This window comes from Homo sapiens, chromosome 15 (assembly GCF_000001405.40).
Source record: "Homo sapiens chromosome 15, GRCh38.p14 Primary Assembly".
Lineage (NCBI taxonomy): Eukaryota > Metazoa > Chordata > Mammalia > Primates > Hominidae > Homo > Homo sapiens.
The window spans coordinates 81,210,276-81,227,540 of NC_000015.10; the positions used below are offsets into that span (position 1 = coordinate 81,210,276).

At 41.7% G+C, this 17,265-nt stretch overlaps 1 protein-coding gene across 15 annotated transcripts in view; it reads left to right on the forward strand.

Moving 5' to 3' along the window:
• The window catches only part of IL16 (interleukin 16), a 131,347-nt gene that overhangs the window by 27,564 nt on the left and 86,518 nt on the right, over positions 1-17,265 (forward strand). For all 15 annotated transcript variants that reach the window (NR_148035.2, XM_047432447.1, XM_047432448.1 and 12 more), the window contains one exon: positions 15,024-15,436. Coding sequence is in view for 12 of the 15 variants with exons in the window: in XM_047432447.1 (XP_047288403.1) it covers positions 15,024-15,436 (413 nt within the window). In the remaining 3 variants the exon portion in view is untranslated. The remainder of the gene's footprint in view (positions 1-15,023; positions 15,437-17,265) is intronic.

Sequence of the window (17,265 nt, forward strand, 5' to 3'; positions counted from 1 at the left end):
GTATAGTGTGAAATTGGGTCATGTGATGTTCTTCTGTTCTTTTTGCTTAAAATTGCCTTGGCTATGTGGGTTCTTTTTTGATTCCGTATGAATTTTAGAATAGTTTTTCTAATTCTGTGAAGAAGGACACTGGTAGTTTGATAGGAATAGCATTCAATCTTTAAATTGCTTTGAGCAGTATGGCCATTTAAACAATATTGATTCTTCCAGTCCATGAGCATGGAATATTTTTCCACTTATTTGTTTCATTTCTGATTTCTTTCAGCAGTATTTTGTAGTTCTCCTTGTAGAGATCTTTCACCTTCTTCGTTATTCATTTTCTTTGTGGCTATTACAAGTGGGATTGTGTTCTTGATTTGACACTCAGCCTGGACATTATTGGTGTATAGAAATGCTACTGATTTTTGTACATTGATTTTGTATCCTGAAACCTTGCTAAAGTTGTTTATCAGTTCTAGCAGACTTTTGTTGGAGTCTAGGGTTTTCTAAGTATAGATTCATATTGACAACGAAGAGAGATAGTTTGACTTCTTCTTTTCCTATTTGTATGCTTTTCATTTTTTTCTTTTGCCTGATTGCTCTGGCTAGAACTTCCAGTACTATGTTGAATAGGAGTGGTGAGAGTGGGCATCCTTGTCTTATTCCAATCCTCAAGGGGAATGGTTCCAGCTTTTTCCCATTCAGTATGATGTTGGCTGTGGGTTTTCATAGATGGCTCTTATTATTTTGAGTTATCTTCCTTAGATGCCTAGTGTGTTGAGAGATTTTTTGGGTTTTTTGTTTGTTTGTTTGTTTGTTTTCATAGACAGAGTCTCACTCTGTCACCCAGGCTGGAGTGCATTGGTGCAATCATCGCGCACTGCAGCCTCAACATTCTGGGCCTGAGTGATCTTCCCACCTCAACCTCCTGAGTAGCTGGGACTATAGGCACATGCCATGCCTGGCTAGTTTTTGTATTTTGAATTCTTTTTTTCTTTCTTTTTTTTTTTTTGTGAGACAGAGTTTCACTCTTGTCACCCAGGCTGGAGTGCAGTGGTGCAATCTCTGCTGACTGCAACCTCCACCTCCCAGGTTCAGGCTATTCTCCTGCCTCAGCCTCCCAAGTAGCTGGGATTACAGGCATGCACCACCATGCTCAGCTAATTTTGCAGTTTTTAGTAGAGACAGGGTTTCGCCATGTTGGCCAGGCTGGTGTCAAAATCCTGACCTCAGGTGATCCACCCACCTCAGCCTCCCAAAGCACTGGGATTACAAGCATGAGCCACCGCGCTTGGCCTAGTTTTTGTATTTTTAGTAAAAACAAGGTCTCACTATGTTGTCTTGGCTGGCCTTTAACTCCTGGGCTTAAGCAATCTGCCGCTCTTGGCCTCCCAAAGTGCTAGAATTACAGGCATGAGCCACTGCACTTGGCCATGTTTAGGTGTTTATTATTATTATTGTTATTAAGGAATGTTGAATTTTATCAGAAGTTTTTTTCTGTGTCCATTGAGATGATCATATGGTTTTTGCTTTTAATTCTGTTTATATGGTAAATCACATTTATTGATTTATGTATATTGAACCAATCTTGCATCCTAGGAATAAAGCCTACTTGATCGTGGTGAATTAACATTTTGATATGCTGGATTCAGTTTGTTGAGGATTTTTACATCTATGTTCATTAGGAATATTGGAGTGGGGTTTTCTTACTTCATTGTGTCTCTGCCACATTTTGGTATTAGACTGATTGTGGCTTCATAGGATAAGTTAGGGAGGAGTGCCTCCTCCTCAATTTTTTGGAATAGTTTCGGTAGGATTGATACCAGTTCTTTGTACATCTGGCAGAATTTGGCTGTGAATCCATCTTGTCTAGGGCTTTTTTTTTTGGTTGACAGGTTTCTTATTACTGATTCAATTTCAGTGCTTGATATTGGTCTATTCAGAGTTTCAATATCTTCCTGATTCAATCTTTGGAGATTGTGTGTTTCCAGGAATTTATCTATTTCCTCCAGATTTTCTAATATGTTTGCATAGATTTGTTCACAGTATTCTCTGAAGAATGTTTGTTTGTCTGTGGGATCAGTTATAATACCATCTTTATTTACTTATATATACATCTTATGTGTGTTTATGTGATCTATGTACTATGATATAAAATGTAAATTCTTACTGTAAGTCAAGATTTTTTTTAATTTTTAAAAATTTTTAAAAATTATTTCTATTTATTTATTTTTTGAGACAGGGTCTCACTCTCTTGCCCAGGCTGGAGTGCAGTGGTGCAATCCTGGCTTACTGCAGCCTTGACTCCCTGGGCTCAGGTGATTCTCCCACTTCAGCCTCCCAAGTAACTGGGATTACAGGCTCCCTCCACCGCACCCAGCTAAGTTTTGTATTTTTAGTAGAGATGGGGTTTCACTATATTGGCCAGGCTGGTCTTAAACTCCTGACCTCAAGTGATCTGCCTGCCTCAGCCTCCAAAAGTGCCAGGATTACAGGCATGAGCCACCATGCCCGGCCCTTCTCTTTTTAAATATAGCTAGCTGTCTATCAATCTTATTTATTTTCTTGAAAAAACAATTCTTGGTTTCACTGATCTTTTGTTTGGATTTTTGCACCTCAATTTCATTCAGTTCTTCTCTAATTCTATTTATATCTTTCCTTCTGTTAGTGTTGGGGTTAGTTTGTTCTTTTTTTGTTCTAGTTTCTTTAGGTGCAAAGGCAAATTGTTAATTTAACATCTTTTTAATTTCTCGATGAAGGTGTTTAGGGCTCTAAACTTTCCTCCTAACACTACTTTAGCTGCATCCCAGAGATTTTGGTAAGTTGTATCCCTATTTTCATTAATTTAAAAGAATATTTTAAAATTTCTGCCTTAATTTCTGTGCTCATCCAGGAGTTATTCAGAAGCAAGTTGTTTAATTTCCATGCATTTATGTAGTTTTGAGAAAGCTTCTTGATACTGATTTCTATTTTTATTGCACTGTGGTTTGATAATGTGCTTGGTATGAGTTCAATAACTTATTTGAAGTTATTGAGACTTGCTTTAGGACTTAACATGTGGTCTATGTTAGAATATGTTTCATGTGCAGATGAGAAGAATATATATTCCGTGATTGTTGTGTGGAGTTCTATAGATGTCTAGTAGGTCCAACTGTTCAAGTGCTGAGTTTAAGTCCAGAGTGTCTTCGTTGGTTTTCTGCCTTGATGATCTGTCTAACATTGTCAGTGGGGTGCTGATGTCTCTCACTATTATTGTATGGTTGTCTAAGTCTTTTTGTAGGCCAAGAAGGACTTGTTTTATGAATCTGGGTGCTCCAATGTTGGGTGCAGTATATATTTAGGATAGTTAAATTTTCTTGTTGGATTGTATCCTTTATTATTATATAATGCCCTTCATTGTCACTTTAACTTTTATTGGTTTAAAGTCTGTTTTAAAAATAGTGACTCCTGTTCTTTTTTGTTTTCCATTTGCATAGTATATCTTTCTCTATCCCTTTATTTTAAGTCTATGGGAGCTACGTGAAATAGGTCTCTTGAAGATAATAAATGGTTGGGTCTTGTCTTTTTATCCAGCTTGCCCCTCTGTGCCTTTTAAGTGGGAACATTTAGTCCATTTACATTTACAAGGTTAGTATTGATATGCGTGATTTTGATCCTGTCCTCATGTTTTGATCCTGTCCTCATGTCCTCATATAGCTGATTGTTATATAGATTTGATTGTGTAGTTGCTTTATAGTGCCTGTGGGCTATGTGCTTAAGTGTGCATTTTGTTTTTTTTTTGTTTGTTTGTTTGTTTTTGTGGCAGTAGGTATTGTTCTTTTGATTCCATGTTTAGCATTCCCTTAAAAATCTCTTGTAAGGCTTGTCTAGTTAAAACAAATTCCATCAGCATTTGCTTGCCTGAGAAGGATTTTAGCTTTCTTTCACTTATGAAACCTAGTTTGCTTTACTTATAAAGCTTAGTTAGCTATATGCTTAAGTGTGTTTTCTGTGGTAGCAGGTGTCATCCTTTTAATTCCATGTTTAGCACTCCCATAAGGACTTCTTGTAAGGCTGGTCTAGTTTAAACAAATTCATTAAGCATTTGCTAGTCTGAGAATGATTTTATTTTTCCTTCACTTATGAAGTTTAGTTTGGCAGGATATGAAATTCTTGGTTGGAATTTCTTTGCTTTGAAAATGCTGAAAATAGGCCCCCAATCTCTTCTGACTTGTAAGGTTTCTGCTGAGAGGTCTGCTGCTGCCTAATAGGGTTCTTTCAGTTTATGATTTACCCTACTCTCTAATTGCCTTTAAGATTTTTTTTTTGTTTGCATTGACCTTGGTGAGTCTGGTGACTATGTGTCTTGGTGATGGTTGTCTTGTGTAGTATCTAGCCAGGGTTCTCTATATTTCTCATATTTGCATATCAACCTCTAGCAAAATTAGGGAAATTTTTGGGGACTATATCCTCAAATGTATTTTCCAAGGTGCTTATTCTCTCTCCTTTTCTCTCAGGAATGCCAATGAATTGTAGATTTGATCTCTTTACATACTTTCATAATTTTTAGAGATTTTGTTCATTTTTCTTAATTCTTTTTTCTTTCCCTTTATCTGATTGAGTGGATTCAAGGAACCAGTCTTAGAGCTCTGAGATTCTTTCCTCAGCTTGATCTATTCTGCTGTTGATATTTCTGATTGTAGTATGAAATTTTTGTAGTGAGTCTTTCAGCTCTAGAAGTTCAGTTTGGTTCTTTCTTAAAGTGGCTATTTTGTCTTTCAGCTCTTGTAACATTTTACTGGATTCCCTGGATTGATTGGGCTCCAACTTTCTCAGGAATCTCAGTGAGCTTCCTTGCTATCCAGATTCTGAATTCTATGTCTGTCATTTCAGTCATTTCAGACTGAGCAAAAAACCATTGCTAGGGAACTAGTGGACTCATTTGGAGATAAGGGGACACTGGCTTTTTAAATTGCCAGAGTTGTAACTGGTTCTTTCCCATCTGCAAGGGTTAGTGTTCCTTTAACTGTGGTGTAAGTTGATTATACTTAGTTGGCTTTGTTTCTGGATGTTTTCAGAGGATCAGAGCTCTGCACAGGATCTTTATGCTTGGGTGAATTCTTGTGTTTGGTTTCACAGATGCATATATTAGTAGGATAATTTTTGGTGTTGCAGCTTAGGCTGTGATCCAGTAGATGGTGTGGAAGAGTGATGGCCAATAGCTAGGCTGATAGCCAGTCACACTACTCTTTTGTATCTCCTCATGTTGGCAGGTGTGCTCTGCAGTCGGGGGTGGAGACAAATGGCCCCTTCACCAGGTCTGCTCATGAGCCTTGGGGAGACCCTTTTGATCACCAGTTATGTGCCCGTGTTTCTTTTGTTAGGTGTTCCAGGATGCAGGGCCCCCTCTGGGAAAGGCTGTAACAGGAAGATGTTCTTCACCCTTTCTGGATTGACCCTGTGGAGGGAGGCATAGCTTGTTCCCACCCTGGCCCGGGAACCCATTTGTCTCACCCCTTGCCACACTCTGAGGGTGGGGGATCCTCCCTCACTCAAGTGCCAACCACAGATCCTGGCTTTGTATTCCTGAGCTGCTGTACTGTGGCCCTGGGGCACCAGAACATCCCATGGCTCTGTCTGAATCCATGGTTGGATTCTGGCTGCACTGGGGATTCTATGTGCTCCAGATCACCAGGAAAGTACTCAGGTGGAGCAATGCGCTCAGGCTGGGCCAAGGAGGCTGTGCTGTGCACCTGCTCCTGCAGGGTGGCTAGGCATGGGCCCTGGGAAGGGCTAGCATGTAGGAAGGCTTGCAGAACAGATGTGCATCATTCCCAGGGAAGCCAGCCCTGCTCTCTCCTGGCTGGAAGGTCAGCTGGGGCCAGCGCCTCCCAGAGGGGAATAGAGAGTCCTGGGGGATGACCATCTGTGGCTGCTCTCTGCTGGAGCTGTCCTGTGCACACAAACTCCTCAGCTCCATGCTGTCTGAAGGCCTGTCTTTGCCTGTTCCCTGGGGAGATCCCCCTCCAGCTCCCACGTCCTTGTGTGATGCAGGGTCCCCTGTAGCTAGAATCCCAGAGGCTGGTGGCAAGAGTGAGGCATCCTTCAGTTCCCTCACTCACTGCTTTCCCAGGAGCTGTTTGGGCCAGGAACTAGCCTAATAGCGTTTGGGTACCCCTGCAGGGTTCCCAGCTTCTTCCCTCTTCAGCCTCAGCTTCAGCATCACTTCTACCCACCCCTGGCTTTTTCTTTTTGAAGAGCTACCCAAATTATGGTGGCTTACTTGATAGTTTGGTCTCTCTCAGTGGGAGCAACACATCCTGGCTGCATGTAGTCGGCCATCTTGTTTCCGCCTCCTGCTGTCTTTGAGGAATGCTCAGCCACCATCCAGCTGGGCCACATCTGTCTGTCTTAGCAGCAGCAGCAGCAGCAGCAGCAGCAGGAGGAGGAAGACAGCAATGATGAGGCTGCCTACCGAGCATTCATGAGGACCTCCTATGAGAAGAACCCAAAGCTGTTAGCATCCCTGGCTGCTGAATAGGTCTACTGTGCCTGGCACCCCAAGCAGCCCTCCTTACAGCCTTGCAGCCAAGCCTCTTCCAGCCTCCCTCCTCTCCACTGCATACTAAGTAGATTTCTTCAAGGTCAGGCATAGTAAATTGTTGGAGTGGGATTGACACCTAGGTCTACTTAGGCTGTAAAGCTACAGCATGTAACCACGACATGATATGCTATCATTTCTAAAATAGAATAAATTTAAGGAAACTAAATATTCAATTCTTGAAGATAGAAAAAAAATAAAACAAATAAAAGCAAGAAGGAGAAAAGTAGCTAAAGCAGAAATAAATATGTTGGAAATCAAACCCCAAAAAGCAGATGTTTTCACTGCTTCTAAGAATGAGTCCTTGGAAAGGACTGATAGAACAGATAGCCCTCAGTGAAGACAAAGCAAGGCAAACAGAAGGGGAGGCCAACAGAAATGCAGAGCACTGGTCAGGAGAGCATATGCACAGATTTTAGAAAATATTTAAAATTATGAGTCTGTGATGGACAACTTTATACTAACAAACCTGAAAATCTGGATGAAAGAGTACTTTTATGACAATGTAAGTGATCAAAATTAACAGAGGAAATTTTTTTAAAAATTAAAATAGACCAACCAAGGAAGTAATGGAAAAAGTTTCAAAGAACTACCTAAAGGGGATGCCAGGACCAAAAAATTTTATGGAAAAAATATTTCAAGCTTTTAGGACTAGGTGTACTTTAAACTATTAAACTATTTCAGAAAGTAAAAGAAATGTCCAGCTTCTCTTTGCTCTTTTTATAAAACCTAAGACAACCCAAATGAGATGGCAGACCATTCCTATTTGTGAATATAGATATAAAAGTCCTAAATAAAATGTTAGCAAACTCAATCCAGTTATCTATTGAAAGAGACGCACACTGTGATCTAATGGGACTTAAAACAATAACAAAATATAAGTAGCTCAATTGTAAGAAAGGCATTAGTTTATTTCTTCATTTTGACAAATCAAAAGAGGAAAGACACCTGATAGTGCCAAACAGCTAAAAAAGCATTTAATAAACAACCACCCGTTCTTGATGAAAATGCTTCCAAAATTATCATTAGTAACATGTATTTCCTTAATATGATAAAAAAATTATGTCTCAATATATCGGTCAACATTCTACATACTAGAAAACACTGCAGGAATTTCCATTAATGTCTGGAAAGAGAAATGAAAATCCTGTATTGTCATCATGATTTACTAAGGTTCTAGAAACTTTAGTCAGTAAAATTAGAAAACAAAATGAAATAAGTGACCCAAATATTTGTAAATGAAGCAAGTTTGTTAATGTTCAGAGGTTACATGATTGAAAATTCAAAATAACCTACTGAATAGTTATTAGAATTAATATGAGATCTGCAAGTTTGCAAGTTATGAAGTAAATATACAAAAGTCACTTATGTATATACAAAGACTAACCAATTAGAAAATATATTTTACAAATAATTCAATTCAAAATAGAAAAAAATGTTCCGGAAAAATGTAATTAAAAATATTTAGAGCCCAAATAAAGAAGAGTGTAAAATGTTATTGAAAGTCTGAAAAGAAAATTTGAACGAATATAGAAACAAAACAACAATTTTCTAAAAAGTCCCTGGATGGGAAGACTTTCTCCCCTAATTCATCTATAAATGCAAAGCAATTCCAATCAAAATTTCCACCAGACATTTTAGAACCTGATAAAATTATTTCACAACTACTAGCTGACAAAATTAAGCATAAATTTCTATTTTGTTCCTGCAAATAGCAAATCTTTATTTTCTCATCATAATTGAGACGTGATTGTTGTAAAAAGAAATCAAGTGTAGGAAATTACGCAGAAAGGAAAGACTCCTTGTAAATATCATCCCCCAGCACCTTGCTGTACCTTCCCAAAAAGTTATTAATAGTTTGATTTTATTGATGCAAGTAAGTTTTTTGTAAATAAAACTCAACTCCAGCTATTTTATGCTTTTTCAGCTTTACAATATATTGCAGACATATTTCCATATCTATATATGTATCTATTTTATTGTTGTGATTGGCTGCATGGTATTCCATCATACAAATGTATCATAATATATTTAACAAAATCTCCCATTCATATACATTTAGGTTTTTTCTCCTCTTTTACTGTTTTTTTGAGTAACAATTTTTTTTTTTTTAGTCCATACTACGTGCAAGGCAATAAGCTAAGTATCTCTCAGAATTATTTTCTTTAGCCTTCACGGTCGTTAGCATTGTTACCTCTAAGCCATAAAGGTGTTAAATACTTTGCTTAAGTTGTCCAGATACTAAGCAACAGATCTGGCATACAGAGCAAGGTCAATTTCAGAGCCTAAGCCTTTAAGCGGTATATTTATAATTCTGCTTGTCCATCTTCCCAATTATTAACAATTACTAATTAACGACACTGTGTGGACATCCCTATGTGTAGCTTTGTGCAGTTGACCTCTCATTTCATTCTGCAGTGACATTGACTGAGTGCGTCCTAAGTGTGAAGTCCTGCTGTGGGCACTGGGATTCCATGAGGAATGAGCTTTAGCCAGTCTTTCAAGAACAATGATGAGTGGATATGCCCTTATCTATCTGGGTGGAAATGCCTTTATTTATCTAGCTCCTTCTTGCGATTGACTATATAGCAGGCCTTTGGAGGTAATATATTACCTCCATATTGGAGGTAATATATACTGATTGGGAAATCCCTTTCCTGACTTATCCTGTGCCCCAGGGGCCTGGATCTTGTTGAGGCCCACCTGATGCCCCGCTCATGCCTGTGCACTGATGGTTAGGTTCTCCTTCCAGGATGCTGAAAGTGCAATGGTCCCTGTGAGGGGCTTCTCCAGGATCTTAAGGACTTTTCTGAGGAGCAGCATTGAGAATCTTCCCTGATGGCTCTTGACTTGTCTTCTGCTCTGAGGTCAGCCCACTGTGGCTCCTTGTCACTCTGATGTTGGTTGGTTACCTGGAGTGCATCATTCTGTGGTCCTAGCTGAGATGGTTTCCTTGAGAACACTTCACATGATGTTGGTGCAGGAAAAGTCTGTTGGAAAGGGCCTCTGAAACACTCATCTGCCGTTCATTCACTGAACATGCAAATGCCCCTTCTTTGTGTCAACCCCCATCAAAGCTTTGGGGACAAAAAATGAATGAGACTATGTCTATCTCTCCTCTCCAGGAGGTAACAGTATAGAGGAAGAAAGATAACAGATATGAAACTAACTTCAACACAACTTGCTTAAATTACCAGTTGGGAAACTGAGGCCCAGAGACACTGTCTTCCTAGTCCTGTGTACAATGTATAGAGACATACACAGAACTACTCCCAGCTGCAGATCCAATGGAATCCTATTAAAGATACTTCTTTTTTTTCGAGACAGGGTCTCACTGTTGCCCAGGCTGGAGTGCAGTGCTGTGATTTCGGCTCACTGCAGCCTCCACCTCCCAGGCTCAAGCAATCTCTCCATCTCAGCCTCCTGAGTAGTTGGGACCACAGGCACATGCCATCATGCTGGCTAGTTTTTTTGTTTTTTGTTTTTTGTTTTGTATTTTTGGTAGAGACAGGGTTTCACCAGGCTGCCCAGGCTGCCCTTGAACTCCTGAGCTCAAGCAAATCACCCACCTCGGCATCCCAAAGTGTTGGGATTACAGGCTTGAGCCACTGTACCCCACCTAAGATATTCTTTTAGAAAGAGAAAGAACCATACATTTCTTCATTTCTTATCATTGAGTTATTCTTTAATTGACAAAGACAAAAATTACCCCCTGGGCTAGAGTGACCAAACTTTAAAAATTGCCTTTGATGTAGGACACTGTTGGAGAATTCAGCAATTTGAAACACATTTTACCAGCTAGTTCTTCTCTCTCCATGTGGTTATTTACCCTCCCAAAGATCTCCAGTGAGTTAAATGTATTTTATCCAGGTGGAAATACTGTGGCCTTTCCTCCGGTAGGTTAGCTTTGCCTAGCACAAAAACAGGCACATGACAGTTTCTCAACAAGTGCTTGTTGAATGAAAAAAAAAAAAAAATGAAAAGGAAGGAAGGAAGGAGGAGGAAGGGAGGGACAGACTAACAGATCCTGCTTCACAGTACATATTCTGCAAGTTTTTTGAACTTCTTTAAAGGAGAGGAACTATCCATTTCTTTTCAATTCAGCTCTATCCTTTTGGCTCTGCATTTTCTAAATAAATGACAGCTCTGCCATGGTAAAAACATATACTGATAACTATGATGATGAGTCAGTCCTGCCCCACTTTTTTTTTGGCACAGTGTCCTTACCCAAGATGTGATGGGGAGACCCCTTCCAGATCTAGTATTCTGTGGAAGATATAACCAAAGAACAAATACACTAGCTCTGTTGGGGAGGTGTGGGGAAGCCTCCAGGGAGTTGGAGAGCAGTTTTCTAGGGAGCTGCAGAACTTCTCGGTTTTTCTGCTTGGAAGTAAAACAACTGATCGCATTAGCTTAGCCATGTTAGAAACCTTCATTGTGCTTCCCCCCCGGAATCCTCTGGAGGAGACCCACAAGGCTGTCTTGTGGAGGGCCCACCAGAGGCAGAGAAAATCTGGCAAGAGTTTGACAAGTCGTCATAGAGCCTGGGGAAAGATAAGGGAAAGCTCATTAGTTCCAACCTTTCGAAGGCAGCTGGACTGGAGGAATGGCATGGGCTTGCCCCCCAGCTCTGCTGACATTTGGTTCCATTAGGGAGCAATAGCTGGTTCCAATGTCCTGAGCTCAATTACTGAAGCTAAGCTGAACCATGTGACCACAGCACTGTGTTTTCAATTATTCTCTCTCCCTTCCTCCCTCTCGATGCCAGGCCTGGAGGGAAGGCAATCTCCCACAGAAGTCCAATTCTGGCTTCTCTACTACAGCTCTTTTGCAATTGTTCTCTTCCTTTAAAAAAAAAAATCCATAATGACAAGGCTCATTTTGAAAACTGCCTTCACTCTTAACCAAAGTGTTAATGCCTTGCCCCCTGGTTCATTGCCATCTCCCATCCCATGGGCCCTGCCATCCCACATGAGAGCCTAGGTCATGAAAGTGGTGATTCTCTTGGGAAGAGCTTGTTTTTTCAAAGCTGCCGGTACTCATCAGACACTCCTGCAAATGGTGCATTGGGATTAGCACAGTTTCCACCAAGGAATTTGATCCCTCTGTTCTCTTAAATGCTACATGCAGCCAACTATTCCACCACTGAGTGAAGCACACAGCCTTGCACCTAGCCCCAAAGGCCCCCAAATGTTTTTTTGTCCTGGAAAATGCCTAGTGAGTGACCTTACTATTGCTGGGACAGTTATTGTACATTGGAAGAGGATGTGGAAGGGAAAGGGAATTGGGTTTGCATTCCAAGAACCCATGCAGACTGTGGCAATTCTTGGTGGGACAAGAATGCGAGAGGCTGTTATACCAGAATCTGACACTGGAGGATGAAGGGGGCAGAGTTGAGGCCTTGACTGGGTATGATGGCTTCTCTCCTAGGCTTGGGGTGGGATAAGAGAGTTTCAAAAACCCTCTCGGCCCTTGGATGTCACTGTTTTCCATGCCTTATGCCAGCAACGGCAAAGAGAAGAGCTACTATTCCAGGAGGGTTTTTTTTTTTTTTTTTAAGCAAAAAGAAAGTCTTTTGGTTTGCATAACTGCATAGGTCAATGCAGTTTCAGGCATGGCTGGATCTAGATGCCCATATGATAATGTCTGAACTCAGTCCCTCTCAGATTTTCTCTCTGTCCTCCTTCCTTTATCTCTACCTCTCTCCCCACCTCTATGAGTTCTGTACCTTCTGTGTTGGCTTCACTCACAGGCAGCCTCTCTACATGGTCGCCCTCAGCATCCCCATGTTTATATCTTTCCTGTTTAGCACCAGCAAAGTCCAGAAGGATTTTAACACAGCACTGATTATCTTACAAATTTCCAAATGCCTAATGGACCAGTGTTAGCTGTGACCAACACACACTCACAGACACACACACACACACACACACACACATACCCACACACATCTTTCCCTGTGAAACCCTGGTGAACTATGGAACTCCTAAGGAAGTGATCAAAATGGAAAGAAGTTTGGACATATTAATATTTATAGCGACATTTGTGTGGAGAGTTACTAGTTTTGGGAAGTGGAATTGGCAGGATGCAGAGAAACTCTTGGATTGGGGATGGGGGCAGAGGAACATTCACAATTTGCATTTGGAAGATGACATCTGGAACTAAAGGCAATAATGAGGTAAAAGAGAAAACTACTCTAAAAGCTTAAAACGTATGTATTCTTCTGCCAATGGATCTGAGCATTGATATACTGGTTAACAAATCCTCTCAAAATGCAGCAAGCTTTTTAACCAAGCAGATTTGGCCTCTGGACTTTGGTTCATGGCACTGGGGTTTGTAAAAGGCAGACCTGATACAACAGTTTCAGTGGCTGTAGGGAAAGGAAGCTGACTCTGTGGGCTGAGGCTTGAAGAGGAGGTAAGCATGAGGGGAGGAAGTACAAAGTGCAGAACATTTTCTCAAGAAGACATGAAGGGGATAAAGGAAAAGCAAGTGACAAGAGGAGGACATGGAGTTAACATATAGTGTTTGAAAGACAGAAAATGTTTGAGTGTGTTCATGTGCTGAGGATAAAGATCCAGCACAGAGGAAGAGACTGAGGCTAAAGGTGAGAAAGGCAATAATCAATGAGACGGTAGAGCCAGGGTAAAGCATGCAGGCTTAAGAGCCAGATTGCCTGGTTTGATTCCTGCTTTTACTGAGTCCTAGCTGTGTGATCTTGAGAAAGTCACCTAACCTCTCTGTGCCTTAGTATCTCTTCTGTAAAATGAGGATATTGATGGAGGCTACCACAGAGTTTATGAGAACTAAATAGTAAAGCAATGAGAGCAATGCCTGGCACACCATAGTGAAGTTTTCAAACAGACATTGTTGGAAATGTGTTATCAAGCTGATTACTGAAACAGTACTACTGTTGGCCAGAGCTGGAGGCCCAGTTGGTGGCCACGAATGTTTCATGATACCAATCTGTTCAGGAGTGAGAGTGTCTCCTTCAAGGCTTAGAGACCCACAGTCAGGCATGAACTCTGCAGAGGCTTGGATTTGTCTGTGATTGGAGTTTTACTATCATTTGAGATGGAAGGACATGGAGTACAAAACTTAGGCATGTTGACAAGAGGGTGCTTGATAAAATGGATCAAAACCGAATTAATTTATACTAAAGCATCAAACACAGTGCCTGATATATTGTAGACTTTCAATCAATCATTAATTCATTTTTGTTTATTGCTATTGATTACTGGGATGGTTGGTGAATAAATTGATAAAATCAAAGAGCTAATACAGAAAACAATAAATGTGTGCAATTCGAGTGCTGAAAAACAGTCTATTTTTAGGCAGAAATTCTCCTTTTGGAGGATATGTGAAAGGGTTTTGATGTAATGAAATGTTATTAGGTCTCTGCTATTCCTTATTCAATACTGGATGTGCGCAAACAGCAGTACCAATGGGCCAAGAGCATCCCACAATTTGTTGTTCTGGCCACAGCCTCTCTTTTGTGGCTTGGGCCTGAGTCAGAACTTTTTAGGATACAGCATCAGGGCTCCTTTCACCACCTGCTTCATGGAAACTGAATCCATGGGAGGCTCCTCTTGGCAAAGCTGAGCCAGGATGTTGGCCTGACTGGAAAGCCCATCTTTGGTCTCTCTGGCTGTGAGAGTTTGACCCAGTGGGGATAGGTGATGAAGCAGGAGCCCCTGGGCCTGACTGTGACTCTGGCCAAGTGTTTGACTTTAGGCCTGGAGAAAGGCACTCATGTTTGCCAGGAGCCTGTTATGTGCTCATCCCTTTGGCAGGCACTTGCCAAGTGTCACCTTCTTTTATGCTCACATCAACTCTGGCAGGTCAGTGTTAGGTAAGACTTCCAACCTTCCTAGCCTTGGGCTCTTCATCTGTCAATGGAGGACATAAGACATCAGTGGTCTTCAGACTCAGCTCCATGGATTCTGGGGTTTCTTTGGAGATGCCATGGGAGTTATCAAGGGTGAAGTTACCAAGGGGACCAGGAAAGTGGAACTTAGTTTTGGTTTTCCCATCTTTGGTCTGCTCTATAGACTGGAGTTCACTGCACACTTTTGTTTAAAGAATGGCTTCCAAGTTTAAAAACCTCACAAAGTACTGGCCTCTAAGATCCCTAAACTGTCTCCTGTAACTTATTACTGGCTCTTCTGCTAGTGCCTTGGGTTGGTACTTCCCCTCTCTGCACCTCAGTTCCCTTGTCTATAGAATGAGAAGCTCTGGGGCTAGGTCTCCATGACACTGGGAGTGGAGTGGGTGTTAACCGCTTGGGTTAACTGAGCCCCATTTGGCTGGCACACTGGAAGGGCCAGTGATCTTAAAGGATGATCTGCCCATCTGTCCTGCTTCACGGGCACCAAGAACCCGTGGCTCAGATCCAGGACTCGTGTGCAGCTCCACTTGTCAGCAGCAAGTCACATTGCTTCTTCCCATTTCCTCTTTCCTCTAGGGACTCATGAAGTGGCAGCTAAGCCCTGTCCAGTGGCCACCCGTCAGCCAAGGGCCAGAGACCAGGAAAGGAAGAAAGGCAGCTTCACTTCCTCTTTGAGGATGGAGTCGCACAGCCGCGCTGGAAAGAGCAGAAAATCTGCAAAATTTCGGTCCATCTCCAGGTCCCTGATGCTCTGTAATGCTAAGACCAGTGATGATGGCTCTAGCCCTGATGAGAAATATCCTGATCCCTTTGAGATTTCCTTGGCCCAGGGCAAGGAGGGAATTTTCCACTCATCTGTGCAGCTGGCAGACACATCGGAGGCTGGGCCCAGCAGTGTTCCTGATCTAGCACTGGCCTCGGAGGCTGCTCAACTCCAAGCAGCTGGGAATGATCGAGGCAAGACCTGTAGGAGGATATTCTTCATGAAGGTATGCCCAGGCTTTGCAGGCCTGAACTAGCCTGCAGTTGGTTTCTGGTGCTGTGAATTAAAGTCTTTGAATCCATTTATTCAAAAATCATGAAGCTGCAGAGTTATAATTCTGAAAGAGAGCAAGAAAAAAGTTGAGGCAGGGCCCACTGGAACTGTAACAATGAGTATGGGAGTGAATCAGGCTCAGTTAACACTCTTGCTTGAGAGGTTCAGGGAAGCACTATGTCACTCCAAGGTAAACTGAGCCTAGATCCCTGATGGAAAATGCCAGATGCAGTAGTCAATACACTGGGAAGCTCTTTTCTCTAGACAGGCATTATAGAGCATACCATAGGCAGGCCAAATCACATCTTTCTTGTAGACTTATAGAAACAGACTTATAGGGCCTGGGCAGAGAAGGAGGCCTTATGGCAAGCAAGGTAAGGGGTGCCGGATGAGTGAGTTTGTTCCCTGAATGCTGACTGTGAACATTTTCCAGGTACCTTCTGCCATTTTCAACATAGGTGTAGATGCTGAAGGTGGCAAGTGGAGCCATCAATAGGGGAGGGGGAAATAAGCAGTGTCTGGGGACCTGCCAGAATTCAGAATGTTTTCCTTTCTGTTATATCATATTTCAATTTTTGTCATCATAATGAGATGGAGATTGCAGAATACCAGAAATCTAGACCAAGTAAAATATTTTGCTATCAAGTGCTGTGGCTTCTATCAAAGGTGAGATTTTTCAAGAGTCCAGATGGCCCTAAACCATGGGATCAGTGCTGCTAACGCAGTGATAAGCCAACATACAGACATTTCTCCTATAGCCTACTGCCAGTCTATGCATTTAAATAGGGAAGACATTCCAGTACCTTTGAAAGGGGTCTGTCACCTCTGTACAGCTTGCCTTCTTCAGGAGGGAAATCACTATTTAACACACATAATAAACAACATTTGTGTTAAGGGCCTTAAGGACTCCACAGCATCCTTAAGAGCCTCACCCAGCCCAGTCTGCTCTATAACCCATGATGTGACTTCTATTAATATGTCCTGCACTCACTTAATTGGGTAGAAGGAGAAGCCATCAGCCCAGTGGGTTTGGGGGAGGCTCGCCAGGCTCCCAGGCTGCCATTAATGATGTGAAAAAATCTAATCCACCAACTGAGAGTCAAATTTATTAGTGACATTATGAATGTATCTAGATTAGCGCTCACCTAAATGAAATTCAAAAAGTATTTCAAGACCTCAGCAGAATCCTAGAATGGATTATTCACATGCTTCCTCTTAATATCATAGGTATTTCCTGAGCACCTATTATCTGCAAGGCACAGTGGGGGTCCAGTCTTTGCCCCGAAATAACTCACTTAAGATAGAGTGAAAAATACACTACAAGAGGGGTGTAGGAGGGCTGTGGGAGGCTCAAAGGAAAAAGGCATCATGTCTCTGGGGATGCTGTCATTCCTTCCTTCATTCAGTAAATACTTAAGCCAGGCACGGGAGTGAGCAAAACAGACTCAGTCCTATTGCAACTTTTATTCTGATTTGGGGATATAGATAATAACAACTTGATATATAATATAATATTATATTAAGTAGTGAAGGACTATGAAGACATATTAAGCAGGATAAGGGGATAGAGAGTGATGAGGAGGGGTTACTGCTTTTTATTGAAAAGGTAATCACAAAGGCTTCTCTAAAGATGTGACATTTTGGCAAGGACCTGAATGAAGTGGAGGGGGGTGCATCACGTGCCCACCTGGGGAAGGGCATTGCAGGCAGTGGGAACAGCATGTGCAAAGACAGGAAGCAAGAGTGTGCCTAGGAGCATCAAGGAGACCGGTATGCCTGGGG